Source organism: Homo sapiens, chromosome 4 (assembly GCF_000001405.40).
Source record: "Homo sapiens chromosome 4, GRCh38.p14 Primary Assembly".
NCBI classification, from domain to species: Eukaryota; Metazoa; Chordata; class Mammalia; order Primates; family Hominidae; genus Homo; species Homo sapiens.
Genome location: NC_000004.12, coordinates 166935596 through 166960153, shown reverse-complemented (window position 1 = coordinate 166960153; position 24558 = coordinate 166935596). Strand labels below are relative to the sequence as shown.

Sequence of the window (24558 nt, the reverse complement as noted above, 5' to 3'; positions counted from 1 at the left end):
AGTTATCAAGGGATTTTACTTTTCAAATCAAACATTTCCATACTGTCTAATGTTTTTACAATGAGTAATACTACTTTCATAATCAGAAAGATAAAAATATATATGGGAGTTATTAGGTTTATACTCTAGGGGTAACATTATGAAATAGCTCCAAAAATCATTAAATCTAATTAGAGTAAATTGTTTCAATTATTAGTCTAATATGCTTTTATTGTGCTTCATTTTGAAAATAACCATAAAGAGGAAATGGAAAAATTTTAATTTTTTGTGCCTACTCCCTTAATTAAATTCTATGTTTACTTATTGTGAATATTTCCTTTATTCTTTTGTCATATATTATATATGGTGCACATAAAATAGTCAATGTAATTTTAATAGTATTACTGGTCTTTAGAAAATACTATCTCAGCTCTAGCTCTACAAGGTTTAAAAATTGTGGTTATATTATTAAGTAAAGATAGTATTTCACATTTTTTCCAGTTGTGTTTCTCTCTTACCTTTCTAGTCCTTGAGAATTCAGTCTTTTTTTTTTTTCTTTTTTTGAGACGAACTCTTGCTCTGTTGCCCAGGCTGGAGTGCAATGGTGCGATCTCAGCTCACTGCAACCTCCACCTCCTGGGTTCAACAATTCTCCTGCCTCAGCCTCCCAAGTAGCTGAGAATACAGGTGTGTGCCACCATGCCCGGCTAATTTTTGTACTTTTAGTAGAGATGGGGTTTCGCTATGCTGGCCAGGCTGGTCTTGAACTCCTGATCTCGTGATCCACCTACCTCGGCCTCCCAAAGTGCTGGGATTACAGGCATGAGCCACCACGCCTGGCCGAGAATTCAATCTTTTAGCTCACCTACCCAGTTAACCTAGTTTTCTCATTTTTCTCATAAGCACTAATTCGTTGAAAAAAGTCATAGGCTGTATTTTCTAACTTACATCTTTCTTGATCACTTCTTATTTCCTTTCCTATTTTTTTGCTTCACTAACTTAAGAGGAACCTGGTACACAATATCAAATGAGCAACCCACATCTGCAATAACAACAACATTTCACACATTCTAAAATTATTAACATGTAGTTAATGCTATGCTTATAGCATCAATTGGATGCTTGTCACCCTTTATAAATAAAAATTAATCTTTTTGTAACTAGTTTTCATTGAATATAAAATGTTATCAAAGACATAACATTTTTTAAGCCTGTCACTCTCTTCCCTTCCCCAACACGTTTACTGATTTTATGTTCAAAAAAGGAGAGAAGGCTTTCTGTCTTGGTCATCCCTTTCCTGTGCCTATGGAGCACTTGTTGAAGGAATGAAGTTTTCAGTTCTGGTGATACAGTAGTAAACAAAACAGACCAAAATGCTTGCCATCACAGACCTTAGGTTCTAGTAGAAGGAGACAGACAATAGCAAAATAAAGAAATTTCAACTTAAATATTGCATTCTCAATTTGGACTTTCATAATCACCTGAAGTTTCAACCCTTCCTTGTATGTGATATATATTTTCCTGTACCCTGATTATTCTCCATATAACTTTATCACCTTCTGTATATTTTACTATGTAGTTAAGGTAATAGGAGAAAAGGATCACTCTAGTTGCTTTTTCTGAGAAAATACTGAGGGGTCAAGGACAAGATTTGAGTCAGGGAGACCTGTGAGGAAGCTGTTGCAATAACAGATGAGAGATGACAATGGCTTAGTCCAGATTAGTGGCAAAGGAGGTGTATTAGTTTGTTCTCACGTTGCTACAAAGAAATGCATGAGACTGCTTAATTATAAGAAAAAAAGGTTAATTGGCTCACAGTTCTGCAGACTGTAAGGGAAGCACAGTGGGGTCTGCTTCTGGGGAGGCCTCAGGAAGCTTCAAATCATGGCAGAAAGCAGAGGGGGAGCAGGCTCATCACACGGAGAAAGCAGGATCAAGAGAGCAAAGCTGGAAGATGCATACACTTTTAAACAGCCATACCTCAAGAGAGCACACTCACTATTGTGAAGACAGCATCAAGGCGGATGGTGTTAAACCATTCATGAGAAATCCACCCCCATGGTCCAATCAACTCCCACCAGGCTCTCCCCCTAGCATAGGGGATTACATCTCAATATGAGATTTTGGCAGGGACATGCATCCAAACTATATCATTCTGCCTCTGGCCTCTCCCAAATCTCATGTCCTTCTCACATTTCTAAATACAATTGTGCCTTCCCAGTAACCCCCCAATTCTTCACCTGTTCCAGCATTAACTCAAATTCCAAAGTCTCATCTGAGTAAAGCTAATCTCTTCCACCTATGAGCCTGTAAAATAAAACACAAATTGGTTACTTCCAAGATACAATGAGGGCATAGACATTGGATAAATACTCCCATTCCAAAAAGGAGAAATTGGCCAAAAAAGAGAGACTGTAGGCCCCATGCAAGTCCAAAACACCGCAGGTTAGTCATTAAACCTTAAAGCTTCAAAATAATCTCCTTTGATTCCATGTCCAACATCCAATGCACACTGATGCCAGAAGTGGGCTCCCAAGGGCTTAGTCACAGCTTATAGTAAGTGATGCATACACAAGATATTTTGAAGAAAGAGCCACCACTTCTGCCTTAGACTGTGAAAATAAAGAGGAGTCAAAGATGGCTCCAGGAGTTTTGCTTGAGCAACTAGAATGATGGAGTTGCAAATAAGTGAGATGGAGAAGAATGAAGGAGAGACCCATTTAGGGAATGAGGAAGTCAGGAGTTCAGGCTGATGTATTATTACTAAAGGGAAGTGTACTTTGAGAGAGTGAAGAGTCAGTGTTGCAGGAAAATAATGCATGAGTTCAGGGCCCACTTGAATTTACTAGTTATTAGTTTAAAGTGAGACAAAATATTCACATCATGTGGGGGATTTGTTTTTGCATTTATTATTCTCTCTTTTGACATAGGATGTGGCTCTGTCACCCATGCGGGAGTGCAGTGCTGATCTTGGCTCACTGCCACTTCTGCCTCCTAGGCTCAAGTGATCCTCCCACCTCAGCCTCCCAGTAGCTGGGACTACAGGCACCTGCCACCTTGCCTAGCTAACTTTTTGTATTTTTCGTAGAGACAGAGTTTCACCATGTTGGCCAGGCTGGTCTCGAAATCCTGGACTCAAGGGATCTGCTTGTCTCTGCCTCCCCAGTTGTTCAGATTACAGGTGTAAGCCACCATGCCTGGCCGTGTTTTCTTTTAAACATGTACAACTGCAAGAGTGCAAGGGAAGAGTTGGGATGCTGCTCACTGTGTATGATGAAGTAAGCGAGAGGCAAGGAGGATGAGAATGTTTGCAGGAGAGTGAGTTTAGTAATAACTTATGGATTCTAAACTGGGTAAGTTGAGAAGGGTTCTCAACTTAGCATGGTGAGGGAGACTGAGAAGATTCTGGTGAAGTGGAAGAATTGAGGGCGTTGGGTATGAGAGGGAGTGGGCTTAGATGTGAGAATATGGAGATTCTACAGTTTTTGGTAATACGGTACTCTCCCCTTACCTATGGTTCTGCTTTCTGTGGTTTCAGTTACCCATTTTCAACTGCATTCCAAAAATATTAAATGGAAAATTTCAGAAATAAACAATTTATAAGTGTTAACTGGCTTGCTGCTCTGGGTAGTGTGATGAAGTCTCATACCTTCTTGCTCTGTGAATGCTCCCTTTGTCCAGAGTTCTTGCACTGTATGTGCTACTTACCCATTTGTCAATTAGTAGCTGGTTTGGTTATTGGATCTACTGCTGAGGTATTACAGTGGGTGTGTTCAAGTAACCCTTATTTTACTTCATAGTGGCCCCAAAGTGCAAGCACAGTGTTGCTGGCATATTGCTATAATTGCTCCATTTTAATTATTGTTGTTTATCTCTTACTGTGCCTAACTCATACATCAAATTTTATCACATATATGGATCTATAGGAAAAGAATTGTGTGTGTGTGTGTGTGTATGTGTGTGGTTTAATATTATTCATGGTTTCAGGCATCTACTGGGGGGCTTGGCACATAACCCTCAAAATAATGAGGGACTAATGTAACCTGAACTAATGTATAACCATAGAAGTGAGTGGCTGAATTTGGGTGGAGGAAAAGATCATGGTTATCAAAAGTAATGAAAGTATCTTCTATATGGATACTGAACTCACCAAGAACTGTTGGAGTTAGTGACAATGTACCAGGAACAAAAGCCATTGAAGAATAATGACAGTATGGGGTCTATAGAGGACTGTAAAGAGGAAGGATGGTGAAATTTGATGATGTGAGATTCAAAAATGAACGCTTTCCAGGAAAAGTGACAGAAGAGAGATAGGGACATCTATCCTGCTCCTCAGCTCATGATGTGAGTCACCTAAGAGGGAAAAATAAAAGTCATTGCTTGAAAGGGCTGAAGAAACAATGTATCAAGGGACATACAAGTTGGATTAGAGCAAGAAAGAAATAAATATAGTTATAAATTATATATTTGTAAAAGAAAACTTTATTAATAATTTATATTTCTCTATATATTATAATTTATATTATAATTAAATTTAATATAATTAAATTATATTAAATTTAATCTAATTTGATTATATTAAATTTAATATAATTTAATTATATTAAATTTAATAATATAATATAATTTAATAATATTAAATTTAATAATATAATATAATTTAATAATATAACTAATTTAATAATATAATATAATTAAATATAATATAATATTTATATTATAATTTGTATTTCTATATTTTAGGAAATATTCAAAACTATGCTGATGAGCTACTGACATGTGCTGAAATGCATAGAGCCCTGTTTAATCTGTGGTAGTTACGGACTTTGAGTGCCTATAGGAATGGCAAATTAGTAATATAGCAGTCAGCTCAAGGGAGTGAGTGAGAATACTTGATTAAAATAAATATATGTATTATGACAATACAATATTCTTTAAAAATATATTGATATATTTTCCTAGACATAGAAACTCATACATTTTTCTGTTTAACCCAGAAATATTAACAAAGGCTTTTGTATGTTTGTAGACTATTTAATTAAAAAATGATTTGTGTGAATCATGAATTTACATAACAGTGATCTCACTTAATAGTTTCCTGGATTCAAAAAAATAACCTTGAACCAAGAGTTAACATTAGAAAGGATTTCTGTGAACATATAATAGATACTGTAAGTTTTTGCTGTGAATTAGTAGAAGAGTCAACAATGATGAGTCTCAGAAAGTTATGCTATGTGAAAGAAGACAGCTCCAAAAGACCACATGTTGAATGACGTAATTGACATGGGATATTCAGGAAGGGCATATCTACAGAGATAGAAAGTAGATGATTGGCTGCCTGGACCTGCGGGTGGGGGATGGAGTTTCATGCCAATAGGCACTAAGAATCATTTGTGATAACAGAGAAATTGGATTGAATTTGGATTGTGGTGGAAGTTTATTTAAAACCATTGACTTGTAGAGTTAAAAATGGATACCTTTTAAGGTGGGTATATTATGCTTCAGTAGAAACACAGACCAATGGACTAGAATAGAGAGCCCAGAAATAAATTCACACATATACAGCCAACTGATTTTTGACAATGGTGCCAAGAACACACAATGGGAAAAGGACAGTTGCTTCATTAAATGGTGTTGGGAAAACTGGATATCCACATGCAGAATAATAAAATTAGATGCTCATCTCTCAATATATACAAAAATAAACTTAAATGGGATAAAGACTGAAATGTAAGACCAGAAACTATGAAACTACTAGAAAAAAAATCATAGGGGAAAACTTCCATAATGTTGCTATAGGCAAGAATTGTTTTGAATAAGACCTCAAAAGCATGGGCAACAAAGCAAGAATAGACAGATGGGATGATATCAAACTATAAGCTTCTGTACAGCAAGGAAACAATTAACAGACTGAATAGACAGCCCACAAAATGGGAGAATATATTTGCAAACTATATAACTGATAAGGGGTTAACATACAAAAATGTTATTTTTGCACCAACCTATTATAAAAGGAACTCAGATAACTCAATAGAAAACAACCTGATTTAAAAATGGGCAATATACTTGAATAGATATTTCTTTTTTTTTATTATACTTTAAGTTTTAGGGTACATGTGCACAATGTGCAGGTTAGTTACATATGTATACATGTGCCATGCTAGTGCACTGCACCCACTAACTCGTCATCTAGCATTAGATATATCTCCCAATGCTATCCCTCCCCTCCCCAGCACCCCACAACAGTCCCCAGAGTGTGATGTTCCCCTTCCTGTGTCCCTGTGTTCTCATTGTTCAATTCCCACCTGTGAGTGAGAATATGCGGTGTTTGGTTTTTTGTTCTTACGATAGTTTACTGAGAATGATGATTTCCAATTTCATCCATGTCCCTACAAAGGACATGAACTCATCATTTTTTGTGGCTGCATAGTATTCCATGGTGTATATGTGCCACATTTCCTTAATCCAGTCTATCATTGTTGGACATTTGGGTTGGTTCCAAGTCTTTCATATTGTGAATAGTGCCACAATAAACATACATGTGCATGTGTCTTCATAGCAGCATGATTTATAGTCCTTTGGGTATATACCCAGTAATGGGATGGCTGGGTCAAATGGTATTTCTAGTTCTAGATCCCTGAGGAATCACCACACTGACTTCCACAATGGTTGAACTAGTTTACAGTCCCACCAACAGTGTAAAAGTGTTCCTATTTCTCCACATCCTCTCCAGCACCTGTTGTTTCCTGACTTTTTAATGATCGCCATTCTAACTGGTGTGAGATGGTATCTCATTGTGGTTTTGATTTGCATTTCTCTGATGGCCAGTGATGGTGAGCATTTTTTCATGGGTTTTCTGGCTGCATAAATGTCTTCTTTTGAGAAGTATCTGTTCATGTCCTTCGCCCACTTTTTGATGGGGTTGTTTGTTTTTTTCTTGTAAATTTGTTTGAGTTCATTGTAGATTCTGGATATTAGCCCTTTGTCAGAAGAGTAGGTTGCGAAAATTTTCTCCCATTTTGTAGGTTGCCTGTTCACTCTGATGGTAGTTTCTTTTGCTGTGCAGAAGCTCTTTAGTTTAATTAGATCCCATTTGTCAATTTTGGCTTTTGTTGCCATTGCTTTTGGTTTTTTAGACATGAAGTCCTTGCCCATGCCTATGTCCTGAATGGTAATGCCTAGGTTTTCTTCTAGGGTTTTTATGGTTTTAGGTCTAACGTTTAAGTCTTTAATCCATCTTGAATTGATTTTTGTATAAGGTGTAAGGAAGGGATCCAGTTTCAGCCTTCTACATATGGCTAGCCAGTTTACCCAGCACCATTTATTAAATAGGGAATCCTTTCCCCATTGCTTGTTTTTCTCAGGTTTGTCAAAGATCAGATAGTTGTAGATATGTGGCGTCATTTCTGAGGGCTCTGTTCTGTTCCATTAATCTATATCTCTGTTTTGGTACCAGTACCATGCTGTTTTGGTTACTGTAGCCTTGTAGTATCGTTTGAAGTCAGGTAGTGTGATGCCTCCAGCTTTGTTCTTTTGACTTAGGATTGCCTTGACGATGCGGGCTCTTTTTTGGTTCCATATGAACTTTAAAGTAGTTTTTTCCAATTCTGTGAAGAAAGCCATTTGTAGCTTGATGGGGATGGCATTGAATCTATAAATTACCTTAGGCAGTATGGCCATTTTCACGATATTGATTCTTCCTACCCATGAGCATGGAATGTTCTTCCATTCGTTTGTATCCTCTTTTATTTCCTTGAGCAGTGGTTTGTAGTTCTCCTTGAAGAGGTCCTTCACGTCCCTTGTAAGGTGGATTCCTAGGTATTTTATTCACTTTGAAGCAATTGTGAATGGGAGTTCACTCACGATTTGGCTCTCTGTTTGTCTGTTATTGGTGTATAAGAATGCTTGTGATTTTTGTACATTGATTTTGTATCCTGAGACTTTGCTGAAGTTGCTTATCAGCTTAAGGAGATTTTGGGCTGAGACAATGGGGATTTCTAGATACACAATCATGTCGTCTGCAAACAGGGACAATTTGACTACCTCTTTTCCTAATTGAATACCCTTTATTTCCTTCTCCTGCCTAATTGCCCTGGCCAGAATCTCCAACACTATGTTGAATAGGAGTGGTGAGAGAAGGCATCCCTGTCTTGTGCCAGTTTTCAAAGGGAATGCTTCCAGTTTTTGCCCATTCAGTATGATATTGGCTGTGGGTTTGTCATAGATAGCTCTTATTATTTTGAGATATGTCCCATCAATACCTAATTTTTTGAGAGTTTTTAGCATCAAGTGTTGTTGAATTTTGTCAAAGGCCTTTTCTGCATCTATTGAGATAATCATGTGGTTTTTGTCTTTGGTTCTGTTTATATGCTGGATTACATTTATTGATTTGTGTATATTGAACCCGCCTTGCATCCCAGGGATGAAGCCCACTTGATCATGGTGGATAAGCTTTTTGATGTGCTGCTGGATTCAGTTTGCCAGTATTTTATTGAGGATTTTTGCATCAATGTTCATCAAGGATATTGGTCTAAAATTCTCTTTTTTGGTTGTGTCTCTGCCCAGCTTTGGTATCAGGATGATGCTGGCCTCATAAAATGAGTTAGGGAGGATTCCCTCTTTTTCTATTGATTGGAATAGTTTCAGAAGGAATGGTACCAGTTCCTCTTTGTACCTCTGGTAGAATTCGGCTGTGAATCCATCTGATCCTGGACTCTTTTTTGTTGGTAAGCTATTGATTCTTGCCTCAATTTCAGCTCCTGTTATTGGTCTATTCAGAGATTCAACTTCTTCCTGGTTTAGTCTTGGGAGAGTGTATGTGTCGAGGAATTTATCCATTTCTTCTAGATTTTCTAGTTTTTTTGCGTAGAGGTGTTTGTAGTAATCTCTGATGGTAGTTTGTATTTCTGTGGGATTGGTGGTGATATCCCCTTTATCATTTTTTATTGCATCTATTTGATTCTTCTCTCTTTTTTTATTAGTCTTGCTAGCAGTCTATCAATTTTGTTGATCCTTTCAAAAAACCAGCTCCTGGATTCATTAATTTTCTGAAGGGTTTTTTGTGTCTCTATTTCCTTCAGTTCTGCTCTGATTTTAGTTATTTCTTGTCTTCTGCTAGCTTTTGAATGTGTTTGCTCTTGCTTTTCTAGTTCTTTTAATTGTGATGTTAGGGTGTCAATTTTGGATCCTTCCTGCTTTCTCTTGTGGGCATTTAGTGCTATAAATTTCCCTCTACACACTGCTTTGAATGTGTCCCAGAGATTCTGGTATGTTGTGTCTTTGTTCTCGTTGGTTTCAAAGAACATCTTTATTTCTGCCTTCATTTCATTATGTACCCAGTAGTCATTCAGGAACAGGTTGTTCAGTTTCCATGTAGTTGAGCGGTTTTGAGTGAGATTCTTAATTCTGAGTTCTAGTTTGATTGCACTGTGGTCTGAGAGATAGTTTGTTATAATCTCTGTTCTTTTACATTTGCTGAGGAGAGCTTTACTTCCAAGTATGTGGTCAATTTTGGAATAGGTGTGGTGTGGTGCTGAAAAAAATGTATATTCTGTTGATTTGGGGTGGAGAGTTCTTTAGATGTCTATTAGGTCCTCTTGGTGCAGAGCTGAGTTCAATTCCTGGGTATTCTTGTTAACTTTCTGTCTCATTGATCTGTCTAATGTTGACAGCGGGGTGTTAAAGTCTCCCATTATTAATGTGTGGGAGTCTAAGTCTCTTTGTAGGTCACTCAGGACTTGCTTTATGAATCTGGTGCTCCTGTATTGGGTGCATATGTATTTAGGATAGTTAGCTCTTCTTGTTGAATTGATCCCTTTACCATTATGTAATGGCCTTCTTTGTCTCTTTTGATCTTTGTTGGTTTAAAGTCTGTTTTATCAGAGACTAGGATTGCAACCCCTGCCTTTTTTTGTTTTCCATTTGCTTGGTAGATCTTCCTGCATTCTTTTATTTTGAGCCTATGTGTGTCTCTGCACATGAGATGGGTTTCCTGAATACAGCACACTGATGGGTCTTGACTCTTTATCCAATTTGCCAGTCTGTGTCTTTTAATTGGAGCATTTAGTCCATTTACATTTAAAATTAATATTGTTATGTGTGAATTTGATCCTGTCATTATGAAGTTAGCTGGTTATTTTGCTCGTTAGTTGATGCAGTTTCTTCCTAGTCTCGATGGTCTTTACATTTTGGCATGATTTTGCAGTGGCTGGTACCGATTGTTCCTTTGCATGTTTAGTGCTTCCTTCAGGAGCTCTTTTAGGGCAGGCCTGGTGGTGACAAAATTGCTCAGCATTTGCTTGTCTGTAAAGTATTTTATTTCTCCTTCACTTTTGAAGCTTAGTTTGGCTGGATATGAAATTCTGGGTTGAAAATTCTTTTCTTTAAGAATGCTGAATATTGGCCCCCACTCTCTTCTGGCTTGTAGTGGGCAGACTGACACTTCACACAGCCGGGTACTCCTCTGAGACGAAACTTCCAGAGGAACGATCAGACAGCAGCATTTGCAGTTCATGAAAAACCGCTGTTCTGCAAACACCGCTGTGGATACCCAGGCAAACAGGGTCTGGAGTGGACCTCTAGGAAACTCCAACAGACGTGCAGCTAAGGGTCCTGTCTGTTAGAAGGAAAACTAACGAACAGAAAGGACATCCACACTAAAAACCCATCTGTACATCACCATCATCAAAGACCAAAAGTAGATAAAACCACAAAGATGGGGAAAAAACAGAGCAGAAAAACTGGAAACTCTAAAAAGCAGAGCACCTCTCCTCCTCCAAAGGAACGCAGTTCCTCACCAGCAATGGAACAAAGCTGGATGGAGAATGACTTTGACGAGTTGAGAGAAGAAGGCTTCAGACGATCAAACTACAAGCTACAGGAGGAAATTCAAACCAAAGGCAAAGAAGTTAAAAACTTTGAAAAAAATTTAGACGAATGTATAACTAGAATAACCAATACAGAGAAGTGCTTAAAGGAGCTGATGGAGCTGAAAGCCAAGGCTCGAGAACTACGTGTAGAATGCAGAAGCCTCAGGAGCGGATGCGATCAACTGGAAGAAAGGGTATCAGCGATGGAAGATGAAATGAATGAAATGAAGTGAGAAGGGAAGTTTAGAGAAAAAAGAATAAAAAGAAACGAACAAAGCCTCCAAGAAATATGGGACTATCTGAAAAGACCAAATCTACGTCTGATTGGTGTACGTGAAAGTGATGGGGAGAATGGAACCAAGTTGGAAAACACTCTGCAGGATATTATCCAGGAGAACTTCCCCAATCTAGCAAGGCAGGCCAACATTCAGATTCAGGAAATACAGAGAACGCCACAAAGATACTCCTCGAGAAGAGCAACTCCAAGACACATAATTGTCAGATTCACCAAAGTTGAAATGAAGGAAAAAATGTTAAGGGCAGCCAGAGAGAAAGGTCGGGTTACCCACAAAGGGAAGCCCATCAGACTAACAGTGGATCTCTCAGCAGAAACTCTACAAGTTGAATAGATATTTCTTAAAAGAAGACATATTAATGGCCAACAGATATATGAAAAAAATGCCCAACATACTAATCATCAGGAAATACAAATCAAAACCACAATGAGATATCATCTTTTTACAGTTATAATGGCTGTTGTCTAATAGTCAGAAGATAAAAAAAAATGTTGGTGAGGAAGTGAAGAAAAGGGATCTCTAACACACTGTTGGTAGGAATACAAATTAGTACTCCCATTATGGAAAAATAGTGTGGAGATTCCTCAAAAAAATATAAAACTTGAATTACCATATGATCCAGCAATCTTACTACTGGGTTATATATTCAAAAGAAATGCAATCAGTAAATAAAAGTAATGTCTGCACTCCCATGTTTATTGCACTACTATTCACAATAGCCAAGATATGGAATCAATCTAGGTGTTCATCAACAGATAAATGGGTAAAGAAAATGTGGTATATATGCACAATGGAATACTATTCGACCATTAAAAACGTCCTGTCATTTGCAATAACAGGGATGAAACTGGAGGACATTATGTTAAGTGAAATAAGCCAGGCACAGAAAGACAAATAGCACATGTTCTCACTCATATGTGAACTTTTAAAAAGTTGAGCCCATAGGAGAGTAGAATATAGGTTACTAAAGGCTGGGGAAAGTGGTAAGAAGGAAGGAATGGGGAGAGGTTAGAGAATAGGTACAAAGTTACAGTTAGTTGGGAGAAATAAGTTCTGGTGTTGTAATACCCAGTAGGCTGACTACAGTTAACAATAATGTATATTTCAAAAAGCTAGAAGAAATTGATTTGAATGTTCTCACCACGAAAACAAAAAACCAATAAATATGTGAGGAGCTGGACATGCTAATTACCCTTATTTGATCATTAAACAATATATACATTTATCAAAACATCCCACTGTACCTCATGAATCCGTGCAATTATGACGTGTCAATTTAAAATAAAATTTGTAAAAGAAATAAAAGAAGTAACACAGAGAATGTTTTAGTACAATCTTTAAGCAACAAAACTGGGATCAAAAATTTAATGAGTGCTGGTGAGTTTTATCAGGAAAAACTGTTACGTTTTTCTTTTTTTTAAATTGCCAATGATACTGTAATTGGAATAGCAACATATTACATTCTTAGATCCAATAATCTCATTTGTGAGAATGTTTCCTTAGGAAAATTATTTTCAAAGGTGGCAAAAGTTACATGCAAAACTTTGCTACTATTGGGAAAAATGCTTTAGTAAACAAAGTTCTGCACAGCGTTATAATGAATGAACATTCAGGAAATCATGCAGTATTTGTGCTATGGAATTTTTAGAAAATGATAACGCTCTAAAAGTTTAGAAAATCTGTGTGCAGTATTAGAAAAGGTGATACACTCAGTATGTTAAACTATAAATATATATTCATTGGCCCCAAAATTCAAAAGTTAGAACAAAGCATGGGGCTGTTGGTTGACTATATAATTGCAATATAATTTCTATGTAAGAGATAATGCAAAGTAATAGGAGATGAAAAAATTGTGACTTGTTATTTCAGAAGCACAAATAAGTTAATTTTATATGGTAAAATAATGGGTACTTCTAATTTCTTAAAAAAAAATAGTGCCTAAAATTTGGTCGTTATGGGAGGGTATCAGGTAAAATGCTCAGTGGTATTTTAGGATACATTTTAAGTAAACCTGGTATAGTTAACTTAGAGATGACAAATTGACAAAATTATTGTCCATCTTAAATCAAAATATTTTAGGGTTTTTCATTGGTGATGTTGATTGTTTTGTACTGAACACCTTCATTTATCCATTCGACAATTATGGTATTGTTCATCTACGATGTGCCAGATACTGTTATAGGTGCTATCTGTGAGAAAACGGAACTAGACACCATTCCTGCCCATGCTGTACTTACATTATAGTGTAAAGAGAAAAACTAAAAGCACTAACAAGTATTCACAAAGTAACTAGGATATTTTTTAAAGGACCAAGTGCTATACAAAATGTAGAGTAGGGGAAGAGGGATCCGACATGCCAAAGAGACAGGGCAGGGCCAGAATGCAGTGCTGACGAGGATGATGGTCAGGGAAAGCTTCATTGTGAAGGTGATAGTTAAGCCAAGATTTGAAGTACTGAAGAAGCTAATCGATTGGCTGTCTGGGAAAGAGTATTTTGGGCAGAAAGAAAAGCTAGAGCAAAGGACTTGGCGGCACAGGTTAGCAGGAATATGCTAGCATGCTCATGGAACAGCAAGAAGGCCAACGCGCAGGAGCAGGCTGAGCCTGGGAGCAGACTGAGCCTGGGGTATGAATTAGATGTGCTCTGAAAAATAAGAGTCTGATTATGTAAGACATTGTATACTTTTGTAAGGCCGTTGGCTTTTACTCTGAAAGGAAAGGGGAGCCATTGCAGGGTCTTAAACAAAGGAGTATATGGCCTGAGTTATGTTTTGAGACAATTACTCTGGCAACTGTATCAAGAACATATTGTAAGATGTGGGGGTTTGGAGAGTAAGTTATTACTCTCCAAACTGGGACATTTTTATGAGCAAAACAGAGATAACCAAATGAATTAAGAATGTCCCAGATAAACAGGGCCTATGGTTATCGTAGTTATTCATGGTCCTAACCAATAAATAATAAATATATATTTTTACAAAATGCAAGAAGTTTTGCAGAGTGGTTAGGGCAGACACCTCATTGAAATGGGTTTAAGAGAGAATAGGAGGTTCTTCCTCTTTTACTACTTCTGAACAATTAATCCCTGAAGGCTTTAAGTGGAGCAGAGTATGGGAGGTTTTCACCTCAGGTGGAGAAGGTGTGAAGGCTCGGAACGAAGTATCAATTCCCATGTAGGGTAAGGAGGGAAAACTACACCTGTGTGATCCTGTGGGAGGTTTTGGAGCCTGAACAGTAGAAGCAGGATGTGTTTACCCAGGAACTCCTACTATGAGATGTCAACTATGCCCATTGAGTGATGGTCTTGTGCAGAGGATCAGAGCCCAACTAGGGATGCCATCTAAGCATGAGATATTAGTGGTCAATTGGAGTGAGGAGGGTACCTGCACAGGACACAGATTGATTAGGAGAGGGTGAGAAAATAAGTGGTGATGGCTATATGTTGATGGGTGGCAGGAACAAGAAGGAAATCAGTGTGAAGCTGTAGGCAGAATCTATATGGGAAACTGATTACGTCAAGGGAATCTGTCTAACAGATAACATATGAAAGAAAATCCGAGCCTGGTTTCTTGTTTTAGAACAGAGTTACAAATATGAAAGGGAGGAAGTCATAATAAATCTTGAAGTGTTATATTAGAATCATCATGATTTATAATTTTGAAAACCTATAGTTATAAAAATGAATATAGATGCAAATATAGGTATTTATATGTATATATGGATGTACATAAATGAATGTATTTCCTATATCTATTTACTGAGGGTGCCAGGGAGTCATTACATCCTAATTGTAATGAGTATACCTGGTTCATAGGTCTTGGTTTCTAAATATCATCCTCCACCAAAAAAGGCCAAGGCTTCTTGCAGTAATGGTTGAATCTAAACTGAAACAAAGTTAACAACATGAGCCAATAACATCTTATTGTTCCAGAAAGCAAAGAAGTGCTCAAAGATTGATAGTGGTATATCAAAAGAACACAGAAGTCAGCGTGAAGGGTCTGCAACAAGACATGTGGAAGAATTCAAGCACCATAATAATGATGGTATCAAATTATAACCCACTGAATACAATTGGAAATCATATCAGTAATATAAATAAATGAGTGAATAAAATGAAAATTTGATGAGAAATGGGATATTTACATAGTCTTAAAGTACTTCCACCACAAATACTTTTGAACCACAGAGGGAAATGAATAACTTTAGAGTGAAGAATACTGGAAGATACCACCATAATCTAGTGATAGAAGTTACTGTCACTCTGAAAGGAAAAAATAAATTATGAGCCACATAAGAAGATGTGACAAAAATAATATGTAATTTCTGTGATACTCCTGCCAAAGTTGCAGAACCTCAATCTAATCTTTAAGGAACATCAGATAAACCCAAACTGAGAAACATTCTACAATGTAATTGATCTATAATGTTTAAAGGAATAAAAGTTATGAAATCCACCCCTCCCTCAAGAAAAAAAGAACACTGAAGAACTGTAACTGTTTCAGGCTAAAGGGGTCATTAAAAAAAGTGTCAACTATATACAAAAAGTATGATTCTAAATTACATTCATTTACTAAAAAGGACATTATCGGGACAATGAGCAGAACTCAAATGAGGGTTAGATGGGAGTGATGTATCAATCTTATGTCCTCATTCATATGGTTGCATTGTTGTTATGGAGGAGATATGTCGTTGTAAGAAATACAGACATATTGGGGGAATGATAGAATATCATGTCAGCAACGGATACTCATATATCTATACAATCCCCTCCCTTTGAGGTTAAAAAAAAAGAGACACTTCTCTGTTTTGAAGAATGTTTTTTGTAATTCTTAACATTTTTTAATTTTTTCAAAAAAAATTTTTTTTGAGACAGTCTTGCTCTGTCACCCAGGCTGGAGTGAAGTGGCGCAAACCCGTCTCACTGTAACCTTCGCCTCCCGGGTTCAAGTGATTCTCCTGCCTCAGCCTCCTGAGTAGCTGGGACTACAGGCATGGGCCACTATGCTCGGCTAATTTTTGTATTATTAGCAGAGATGGGGTTTTGCCATTGTTGGCCACGCTTGTCTTGAACTCCTGACCTCAAGTGATCTGCCCACCTTGGCCTCCCAAAGTGCTGGGATTACAGGCAGGAGCCACTGTGCGTGGCCTATTTTTTTAATTAACATAAAATTTCATATATTTATCATGTATCATATAATGTTTTAAAGTATGTATACATGTGGAAGAGTTACATCTAACTAAAGGAAGTGGAGTTTACATGAAAAGCATACGACCACTTTAGTACTTGTCATAGCAAGCCACAATAAATAAGAATATACTTTGAAGTAATACCCTGAAACATTTCAAAATGATATCTCATGTAAGCAAAATAGAAATACATTATGTACTTTTCAGTTTTCCTTAAACATTTTTCCCCTCCAATTCATTATATTTTCACTGAACTGTAAAAAATTGAACAACTACTTGAGGTTTTTAGCCTGACATTTCTGTGTTTTCATGATGTGTCTTCTTTTTGTCAAATTTTAATGTAAACTTTCACTAAATAATGTGATTAAGTTCCAAAACATTCTGACTTTTTACTATTATGTCTCTTTTTTATATTAAGTATTATATCTCTTTTTAACTTACTTTATGCCTGCAGAAGATATGCATGGCTCAATGTGTTTTCTCACTGCCTGGGGACTCCCAAAGAAATGCCTATGACCAGTAGCTATGAGTGGCCGGAAATCAATGTTTTCCTATAGGTGGACATTAAACAGATATCTGTACTCCAAACACCTTGGAATTTGTTTAGAAACTTTACAGAAGCAATTATCACTTTATCATTTTTAAAAATTCTCAGCACTAGAATTTGAAGTGTGCTATAAAATGTTTTTTAATTGGTGTGTTCTTGCACATGTTAATGTAATGCCCTTGAAGAGCAAGCTGTCAAGAAAACCAAATAGAAATTATTGAACATTTTGTTAAAATGACACAAAAACTATTTACATGGAATGCAATGTTTTCTTCTTTCCTGGTATGGAAGAAAAAAAGACAGAATATATGCACACATTTTCTCCCAAACTAACTAATATAAACAGCTTCCACATGTCAAAGTTTTACATAATGATGATTCTAAAATGACTTAAAATTGCAACAAGTCACTTTCATTAAGCCATGAATATTGAATAGTAATTATTGCTTAATAGACTTTTTATAAGACACTATTTACAGTACAGCTGCTAAGTTGTTATAAATTCTTCTTGAATGTATCATGCAAATATCAACACCTGTGATACTTTCTAAGTGTTATGCCAAATTCTATAGGGTATTCTTAGTCTAATCTTTTCTACCCCATTGCTTTTGAGTTTTTGGCTTATTTACATTCTTCTTTGCATTTCACCTCAAGAGAATAGTATCCATTTATTGAAATATATATAGTGTTCTATGAAAATTGGAGGTTGTTTTGAGGGAAAGGATTTCTCAGTATTTCCAGAGTTCATGTCGCCTTTGCTTTAACTTTTGTGTTTTTTTTTTAACTTTTGTTTTTTTTTTTTTTTAAGTGGAGGCCAAGGCAGGTAGATCACAAGGTCAGGAGATCGAGACCATCCTGGCCATCACGATGAAACCCCGTCTCTACTAAAAATACAAAAATTAGCTGGGTATGGTGTTGCGCTCCTGTAGTCCCAGCTACTTGGGAGGCTGAGGCTGGAAAATCACTTGAACCCAGGAGGCAGAGGTTTCAGTGAGCCAATATTGTGCTACTGCACTCCAGCCTAGTGACAGAGCAAGACTCCATCTAAAAAATAAAAAAAATTAAAAAATCAAGAAATGGAAATGGAAACACCGAGTGACCTATACTCAAATAGTGCATTTATTAACCACATTTTAATGTCTAGTTATATTTTGTTAGAAAGTCTAAGGGAGATACAGTAACATTTAAGTGTTTATAAAGTTATGTATTAAAATATCAAATGGCATTATAACAGTTTTTTTTATTTCTGTATAACAAATTACTGGAAAACTTAGTGGCTTAAAACAGCAAATACTCATCTCAGTTTCTATGAGTCAGATGTCTGAGTGCAGCTTAGCTGGGTGCCTTTGGCTTAAGGTCTCTCATGAAGTTGTCTTCAAGCTTTGGCTAGGCTGGAGTCATTTCAAGACTGCCTGGGGCTGAATGATTCACATCCAGGCTCATCACACGGTTCCCTAAAGGCTCGGTTCTTACTATGCCCCGGGAACTCACTACAGGACTACTCACACCGTGGCAGCTTGCTCCTCAGTGCGAGTAATTCAAGAGAGAGCAAGAGAAAGTGAGAACCCACTGAGGGCAACCACAGTCTTCTTGTAACCTAATCACAGACATTTCAACACGATTGTCTTCTGTATATTAGAAGGAAGTCAGTGAGTTTAGCTCACACTCAAGGGGAAGGATCACACAAAGGTGTGAACCAGAGGCAAGGATCACTGAGGACCATCTTAGAGGCCAACTACCCACAGATATTAAAATGTTAAAAGGACAACACTGTATTACAAAAAAACACAAAATCCCCTCTTGGTAGATATTTTAGCTTTCAGACTGTAGCTGGAAGGAATAATACTGCAATTGATAAAAAAGGAAACAGTTACAAGACATATGAGATAAACTCTCTTCTAATGGTTCTGTGTTTCATCCCGGAGTTAATAACCAAGATGTCTTTCTTAAATTCACTTTTGCTAATCCCAAGGACAAAATCATGACGGAAAAGGATCCATTTTTTTCTGTTTCTCTTGTCCACAGATTCTAAGTTTACTTTCTTATGGTTTTAAATTCCCATAGAAATTGACCAGCTTTTTTCTACATTCTTGGGAGGCATAAATTGATTGGCCTAGCTTCTGGCTGACAGCCCTCCTGAATCTGTTTTAACTGTGACCAAACGTGACTGTGCTGATGGCTAATGTGACACCTTGGTTCTTGACTTCTTGCTTTAAAAGAATTTAAACAAGAGATGCACAGCAAAAGAAGTGCAGCATAGAGTAATTTACTGCAAAAGAAAAATAATATTTGGAAAATTAGGTGCAGAATAGACAGTTCATCCTGAAAGGGAGGGAATTCAGGATGGGCTGCTCATAAGGATGAGACAGCAAAGATCAGCACTCGGGAAACTTCCTTAACAGGGTCTTACGTTCTTCATAAGGAGGTGGGAAGAGGAGTTACCAGTAAGCACTAGTTGCTTACTAGTAGTAGCAACTAGTGCTTACTTGCTAATAACTCCTCTTCCCACCTCCTTATGAAGAATGTAAGACTCCTGTAAAGGAAGTCTCCCAAGTGCTGATCTTTGCTGTCTTAGGTTCTGGGTGCACATACACAGTAGCTGTACAAGCTTGTTCATATTTCACATATCTCATTAGCATCTTAAATCTCTTCCTAGGGGTTTTTTATTATTACAATGAGCAAAGGGTCAGTTTGAGGACAGGTAAAATCAAAATGCACATGCTGTCTAGAAGAGAAAGTCTCTACCGAAGATAGCTTTGCTTGAATGAACTGAATTACAGTGCAAATGCTGAGGCCTATTGTGTTGATTGTACGGTCACCATGGTTGCTGCCTCCCAAGAACATGGTCACTTCCTTGACTCCCTATCCTGCCTCAGATGCAGCATCCACATCTGTTTGTATAGAATGGTCAGTTTCTCTGTCGCGGACTTCGGTAGGGAGGCTGTAGTGGCTGAAACTCAGGCCAAATCACCTTGTAGTTTTGAGAGAAGAGAGGATGTTGTAATCTAGGCTCATACTCAAAAGGTAATTTCTAGATATTATTATATCATCATAGTCAGAAGGATAACTGAATCACCAGAACAAATATTTCTTCTCTCTTGAAAATCATTCCTAGATTGTTTTAGCAATAGTAGAAAAGATGTCATTGACCAGTCTGACTGCTCACCATGCGTGACTTATACACTTGGTCATTGCATGTTCATGTCCATTTTCCCCATGTATTTTATTAATCCCATTTTAAATATCTTTCCTTTAGTAATGCAGAAAATGTTATTTTTTTGAATCATTAAATCAAGTTATCTGTTTATTGCCAAATAAAACCTGGAAAAAAGTAACTCAACTAAAGAATTTTTGCCTTATGTGTTTCTAGTTTCTCTTAATTTTATATTTCTAGTACCAATGGCCTTAAACAAGATAAATAAATTCAATTATGTTTACCAATTTTGTTGGAAATATATTTGTTGGAACAGCTTTTCCTCTATTAAACAAAAAGATAATGTGATTTATTATTTACAGTGTTATGATCAAGACTCTGGTTTCGAACTATTTTAGCAAGACCGAGGTGACTAGATAAGATCAATTTAGAAACCAGTTAGCAGTTAATGAGCTCCTACTATGTATTATATGTGCTACAGCCTCTTCCTCCCAGCCCAGTAACAAACATAGACACATTTTATTTGCCAAATAACTTCTCTTCCTGCAGATCCCAACTCAGGTATCATTTCCTGCATAGAACTATGGATTTCCTTCCTTGTACTTTGGTAGTCACAATTTTACATCTATTTGGTCTTCTTTAAAATTCACAATTCTTCCCACCCTACTGTTATCTTCATAAGAAGAAAGTTCTTATGATATCTGTTTTTATTGCTTTGTTCTTATTATTTTATTTATGCTGAACTCTTTTATCCCCATCATCTTGTATAGCTTATTTTGCAGAATAAATAATAAGTAAATATGTATGGAAAGAATAAATGAAAAAAAAGAATGAATCCAAGTTATGGGTATGATATTAACTCTTAACTGCATTCTCCAAGTAAGTTTTTGCAATCTATTTTCATTCCCATCAATTCCATCACCTAGTTTTTAATTATATTACATTACTAAAATCCATCCTTTCTTTCTGAGGGTCACTTTGGAAAAAGAAAGAATCTATGTTCTACCAAATACTAGCTTCTAGTAGGGCAAGCATGCCATTTAACTGTATAGAGCCTCTATCTTTACTTTGTAAACATGGATTATAATACGTACAAACATATAAACATGTTTCATACATTTCATAGGATTTAAAGAGAATCTGTGTGTGTGTGTGTGTGTGTGTGTGGTGTGTGTATGTGTGTCTTTATATATCTAATCAGACAAACAGTAGATTCTCAAAAAAGGTTGGTGTTCTTATTCATAACCACTGATATATTTGTCTTTGCACATTAGCACCTCTTTTTTGGAACTCTTTTCTTCTTTAACATCTGTGGTATCACACTATATGATTACTATATATGTATAGTATGATTATTCTTTTATTTAACTAGAGTGTGACTGGTAGTATGTTATGTTGTATTTATTTACTGACTAAATGTTGATTATGTTTTTTCTATTCTCTTCATTTCCTTCTCTTTTTTTCCTGTCTCCTGTGTGTGCATGAAATAATATTTTTATTCTTTTCTCCCCCATTCTTTTTCTTAGAGATTTCATTTGTATCTATAAATTAAAATAATGGCTTCACATTTTTATCATGAATTCTAAAACTTTGTACTTATGTGCTTTTCTGAGTTTGTTATAAGTTTGCAATTACCTACTAAACATTTTTTTTACCAGATTGATCACCAGCATCTGAAATTCAAAATGTCTTTAACTCAAGTAATTATGAATGTATACTTCCTGTATTCATATTCATTTTCTAGAAATATAATTTTACATTTCCCAAATCAAAACTTCAGAGGAAACTCATTCTTGCACATAATCAATGGCAAAATTACATCAATTTCTCTTCCCAAGCGGTTTTTACACCTGCTCCTTCCATAGTTTTTCTCTGCCTTCCACTTTTGTATTTGTATTAATTTATAGCTTAGCAATCCTTTAACTACTTGAGAGGATTCCCTCTGTCATTCTTCAGATGACACTGCATTAATTTTTCAAAATCACTTCTAGTCATCTGTTAAAAAAGTTCTGCTTAAAAATACAAACTCATGGCTGGGCACGGTGGCTCATGACTGTAATCCCAGCACTTTGGGAGGCTGAGGCGGGCAGATAGGGTGGATAGGCCGAGGTGGTCAGGAGATTGAGAGCTTTCTGGCTAACACGGTGAAACCCTGTCTCTAGTAAAAATATTAAAAAAAAAAAAAAAAGAGATTAGCCGGGCGTGGTGGCGGGTGCCTGTAGTCCCAGCTACTCGGGAGGCTGAGGCAGGAGAATGGCGTGAACCCGGGAGGCGGAGCTTTCAGTGAGCCGAGATCGCCCCACTGCACTCTAACTCTAGCCTGGGCGACAGAGTGACACTCCGTCTCAAAAAAAAAAAAGAAAAAAAAATAGAAAAAAGAAAAAATATATATAATCTCACATTACTTTAGGGATAAGCTTGAAACATCTTTACCTAATAATCAAAACTCCAATTATCTCTCCAGCTGTATTTCTTACAACTTTTTGGCTTGAAGAAATTTCTCTTTTAGCTCAACTGGAACAACTACAATTACTGAAAATGGTTTTCACTGGAAATACCATATATATAGTAATATATAATATATATTATATAACATATAAATATATGCTTCTAGAAATGTATGTGCTAGAAATAATCAGACAAGAACTCATAGATGTATGGAAAAGGAGTGTTTATCACAACATTGTTTTAATAATCATAAATTATAATTATATATAACATATAATATATACGTGTGTGTGTATATATATGTATATGTATATATACACCTTACACATCATTCATAGCCTTGATCAAATGCTACATTTTCTAAGATTCTCCATGGTAATCCTGGGAAAAATTACTTTCCTGATTTTTAAAATTTCCAGAAATGTATTACATTTATTTTCTAGTCACGACTTGATGCTTATTGAAGTTATGGTTTCTGCTGCATTAAACACTTGTGCCTCTCAAGTGCTTATTTTTGGTATCTACCAAAAATCTACCTTTTGTTGTGACCAGGACAAATACTTGGGTTGTAAAGCAAATCTCAACTATTTATTCACACTATGTTCTTACACATAGTGAAATTCAGCTAAAATCAATCAATTAAAAAATAAATAAATAAGTTCTCAATGTGTGAATATCAAGGAATATTCTTGTAAATAACCCATTATCAAAGAAAAAGTTACAATTAAGGTTAGAAAATATTTCAAACTGAATGAAAATAAGATTATCAAACATGAAAATATGAAGACATTTGGAATATAGATAAATTCGTGTTAGTGAGAATCATATAACCTTAAATTTGGTATGTTAGAAAATTTTTAGAAAGTTGAGAATTATCATTTTAAGTATTTAACTCAAGACAGTAGAATAAGAATCAGTCATTAAAACTAAAAGTAGAAATAAGGAAATAAGAAATGTAAGATAAATCATTAATCAAATAGAAATCAAATACGTAGTAGAGAAATTCAGCTCACCTAAAGCTGGTTTTAGGGGGAATTACTAATAAAAAAGATTTATCCCTGTAAAGAAAAATAGACAAATCTCCTATCAAATATGGGAAAAGCTGTGCCACTGGATAACTAGAGATCCTACAGACATTAAAAAAATCCTAAGGGCTAATTACCAACCACTTTGCTGTAATAGATTTGGTACTTTTGGTTAAATGTACAAACTTCTAGAAAAATTTATCTTATCTCATTCAAAACAGAAATCTCTAGACATAAGTGTTTTCCTCATTAATTATTTTAAATATTTAATGATGAAAAACAAATATTGTATACATACTTCTAATTAATAGGATTTTAACTTTTAAAAATTAATTGTGATTAATTAAATTAAAATCAGACAAGAACTTTTTAAAAAGTATATGTTAATATTGCTTATGAATACATATGTAAATTCTTTTTTAAAATTAGCATAGTCAAGCCTATGTAAAATGATAATGCATCACAGCTCAGTATTGCGTATTCTAAGAAAATAAGCCAGTTTGGTTTGAAATCCAAAAACTAGTCAATGTAATTAATACAATAAAAGAAATAAAACTTATAATCTTCTCATTAGATGCAGATATTTATTAAATTTCAATACCCCTCAATACTAATTCATGATTAAATGTCTTATGAAACCAAAAATGGAAGGAAAAATCTGAACTTTCCAAACCTGACCTTCTCATACAAATTCAATTAATTCTAGCTCAATCCTTTTAGTAATTCATCATGATCATTTTTTATTATATACCACATCTAACCTTTAGGCAAATGTTGTTATCTCTATCTTCAAAATATATTAGAATGCAGCCACTTCTCATCACCTCCACTGCTATCACTTTTGTTTAGACCACCGTCATGTCTTGCCTGTGTTAATGGAATTACTTCCTAACTATGTGGCTTTTTGTGTCATCCTTGTTTTATTGTACTTTTGTTTCAGTCTACACAGCTGAGAGTGATCCTTTAAAACTCCTCATATTAACCCTTATGCTCAAACTCTATAACGATTCTTCTTATCACTCAGGGTAAAAACCAAAATGGTTTTTACATTTAC

General features: G+C 35.9%; 1 protein-coding gene across 12 annotated transcripts in view, besides 1 other annotated feature; it reads left to right on the top strand.

The window, feature by feature from the left end:
- Positions 1-24558, top strand: part of SPOCK3 (SPARC (osteonectin), cwcv and kazal like domains proteoglycan 3) — a 501562-nt gene that overhangs the window by 274792 nt on the left and 202212 nt on the right. The gene's annotated exons all lie outside the window — the stretch shown is intronic.
- Positions 18310-18359: a silencer, noted in NCBI's record as "silent region_15787". NCBI's record gives its function as "represses an Ori minimal core promoter by ATAC-STARR-seq in GM12878 lymphoblastoid cells {active_cell/tissue: GM12878}" and the evidence as "EXISTENCE:reporter gene assay evidence [ECO:0000049][PMID:35858748]".